This window comes from Homo sapiens, chromosome 7 (genome assembly GCF_000001405.40).
Source record: "Homo sapiens chromosome 7, GRCh38.p14 Primary Assembly".
NCBI lineage: Eukaryota > Metazoa > Chordata > Mammalia > Primates > Hominidae > Homo > Homo sapiens.
The window spans coordinates 100,937,952-100,942,058 of record NC_000007.14 but is presented as its reverse complement, the minus strand read 5'-3'; positions in this window follow the sequence as shown (position 1 = coordinate 100,942,058).

Below are 4,107 nucleotides of genomic sequence, written 5' to 3'. Positions count from 1 at the left end.
GCCCAGGCTGGAGTGCAGTGGTGTAATCTCAGCTCACTGCAGCCTCCGCTTCCCAGGTTCCATCAATTCTCCTGCCTCAGCCTCCCGAGTAGCTGAGATTACAGGCCCATGCCACCACGACCTGCTAATTTTTGTATTTTAAACCATGTTGGCCTGGCTGGTCTTGAACTCCTGACCTCAGGTGACCCAACTGCCTCAGCCTCCCAAAGTGCTGGGATTACAGGAGTGAGCCACTGCACCCAGCCGTCTCTGTGTTTTAAAAAATAAAATAATAATAAATACATTATTTTTAGGCCAGGTGCAGTGACTCATGCCTGTAATCCCAGCACTTTAGGAGGCCAAGGTGAGTGGATCACTTGAAGTCAGGAGTTCAAGACCAGCCTGGCCAACATGGCGAAACGCGGTCTCTACTAAAAATACAAAAAAAAAATTAGCTAGGTGTAGTGGCTCACACCTGTAATCCCAGCTACTTGGGAGGCTGAGGCAGAAGAATTGCTTGAACCCAGGAGGCAGAGGTTGCAGTGAGCTGAGATTGTGCCATTGCACTTCAGCCTGGGAAACGGAGGAAGACTCTATCTCAAAAAATAAATAAATAAAATAAAAAATAAATATATTATTGTTAAAACTGGTTTTCCACCATTGGTGATCTTAAAGTGTGTGCTTAAAACTTTTATTTTAATGATATTATTCTTGAATTGCAAGCCCAGATATCTATAGCATGATTGGTCTTAGTGAATTTATTGAGGTGTACGTTTTATTTAAAAGTATGTGGTGGCTCACGCCTGTCATCCCAGCACTTTGGGAAGCTGAAGAGGGTGGATCACAAGGTCAGGAGATCAAGAACATCCTGGCTAACGTGGTGAAACCCCATCTCTACTAAAAATACAAAAAATTAGCCAGACGTGATGGCAGGCGCCTGTAGTCCCAGCTACTCAGGAGGCTGAGGCAGGAGAATGGCATGAGCCCGGGAGGCAGAGCTGGCAGTGAGCCGAGATTGCACCACTGCACTCTAGCCTGGGTGACAGAGCAAGACTCCATCTCAAAAAAAGAAAATGAATAAAAAGACAAGAAAATGTGGCACATATATACCATGGAATACTATGCAGCCATAAAAAAGGATGAGTTCATGTCCTTTGCAGGGACATGGATGAAGCTGGAAACCATCATTCTTAGCAAACTATCGCAAGGACAGAAAGCCAAACACTGCATGTTCCCACTCATAGGTGGGAATTGAACAATGAGAACACTTGGTCACAGGGCAGGAACATCGCACACTGGACTTTGTTGGGGGCTGGCGGGCTGGGGGAGGGATGGCATTAGGAGAAATACCTAATGTAAATGACGAGTTGATGGGTGCAGCAAACCAGCATGGCACATGTATACCTATGTAACAAACCTTCATGTTGTGCACATGTATCCTAGAATTTAAAGTATAATAAAAAAAATCATACCACGGTCTTTCCTATAGAAAGATCTAAGCTTGCTAATATGACTGAATTGCTTTACTATTGAATTCCAGCAAACACTTAAGGAAGAAATCATACCAACTGTACACAAACTCTTTCAGAAAATGGAACACTTCCCAACTTTGTTTATGAGCCCAGCATTATTCTGATACCAAACCAAGACAAATACATTACAAGAAAACTAGACCGATAGCCCTAATGAATATAGACACAAAAATCCTCAAGGAAATATTATGAAATAAAACATAGCAATACATAAAAATAATGCATCATGACCAAGTGGGGTTAATCCCAGGGATACAAAGCTGGTTAAACATTTGAAAATGAATCAATGTAATTTCTTATGTCAACAGTCTAAAGATGAGAAACCACATGATCATTTCCATAGATGCAGGAAAAGCATTTGACAAAATCTGACGTCCATTACTGATAAAAGCTCTCCGAAAACTAGTAAATAGAAGGAACTTCCTCAACCTATTAAAGGACAGCTACAAAAAAGAAAAAAAAAATCAGCAAAGTATCTTAGTCTGTTCAGGCTGCTGCAACAAAATACTGTAAACTGGGTAGTTTATAAACAACAGACATTTATTCTCATAGTTCTAGAGGCTGGGAAGTCCAAGATCAAGGCAGATTTTGTGTCTAGTGAGATCCTGCTTTCTGGCTTATAGACAGTTCCTTCTTTCTGTGTCTTCACATGGTAGAAGGGCAAGGGTCTTTCTAGGTCTCCTTTTTTTTTTTTTTTTTTTTTTTTTCCTGAGACAGAGTCTCACTGTGTCACCCAGGCAGGCTTGGGGCTCACTGCGACCTCTTCCTCCCAGGATCAATGATTCTCCTGCCTCAGCCTCCCAAGTAGCTGGGACTACAGTCATGTGCCACCATGCCCTGCTAGTTTTTGTACTTTTAGTAGAGATGTATTTCACCATGTTGGCCAGGCTGGTCTCGAACTCCTGACCTCAAGTGATCCACCTACCTCAGCCTCCCGAAGTGCTGGGATTATGGGTATGACCTTATCTGGCCTCTGGGTCTCTTTCATAAGGGCACTAATCCCATTCATGAGGGCTCCACCACCATGGCCTAATCACCTCCTGATATGGTTTGGGTCTGTGTCCCCACCCAAATCTCATGTTAAAATGTAATCCCCAGTGCTGGAGGTGGGGCCTGGTGAGAGGTGATTGGATCATGGAGGTGAATCCTTCATAAATGGTTTAACACCATCCCCTTGGTGCTATTCTTGTGGTAGAGTTTTCATGAGCTCTGGTTGTTTAAAAGTGTGTGGCACCTCCCCACTCTCTCTCTTCCTCCTGCTCTGGCTGTGTGAAGACACCTGCTCAGGCTTTGCCTTCTGCCATGAGTAAAAGCTCCCTGAGGCCTCCCCAGCCATGCTTCCTGCATGGCCTGCAGAACCCTAAGCCAATTAAACATATATATGACCCAGTCTCAGTTCCTTCTTTTTTTTTTTTTTTTTTTTTGAGACAGAGTCTTGCTCTGTCATCCAGGCTGGAGTGCAGTGGTGCGATCTTGGCTCACTGCAACCTCCACCTCCCGGGTTCAAGTGATTCTCCTGCCTCAGCCTCCCGAGTAGCTGGGATTACAGGTGTGTGTCACCACTGCCAGCTAATTTTTGCATTTTTTAGTAGAGAGGGGTTTCACCATGTTTGCCAGGCTGGTCTCGAACTTCTGGCCTCAAGTGATTCACCCACCTCGGACTCCCGAAGTGTCAGTTATTTCTTTATAACAATGTGAGAACAGACTAAAACACCTCCTAAAGGCCCCACCTCCTGATATCATCACCTTGGGGGTTAAGATGGCAACATATATGGATTTCGGGGAGCCACAAACATTCAGACCATGGCACTAAGTACATCTATAAAGCTAAGGTCATTAATAGGTTTTTTTTATATGTTTATTTGTTTATTTTGAAACGGAGTCTCGCTCTGTCACCAGCCTGCAGTGCAGTGGCACAATCTCACCTCACTGCAACCTCTGCCTCCCAGATTCAAGTGATTCTCCTTCCTCAGCCTCCCAAGTAGCTGGGATTACAGGTACATGCCACCACACCCAGCTAATTTTGGTATTTTTAGTAGAGATGGGGTTTCACCATGTTGTCCAGGATGGTCTCGATCTCCTGACCTGGTGATCTGCCCACCTCGGCCTCCAAAAGTGCTGGGATTACAGGTGTGAGCCACCATACCCGGCCAATCATTAATAGGTTTTGGAGGGCGATTCTTTGTTATGTCAAGACGAATCTTTCAGCTGGGCACAGTGGCTCACACTTGTAATCCTAACACTTTGGGAGACGGGAGGATCACTTGAGCCCAGGAGTTCAAGACCAGCCTGGGCAACATAGTGAGACACTGTTTTAAAAAAAAAAAATCACTGTGATTAAATGCAGCAGTGCAGAATTGCTTTTGGTTTACTATTTTGACAAGAGCCATCCACTGGTCTCATCCTAACATTTCTTATTCTATAGGTTAGGAAGTCAGTGTGGGAATTCTGCAGGGTGGTGAGGATATTAATCTCAATTTTACACTTAGATATTAGGAAAGTGACCATAGGAAGTTTGTGGGCACAGGGGCCTATAGTGAGGCAAAGTCAGGGTATAACTACATTTATCAGGGCTTTTGTTAAAAAGTCAAGAAAG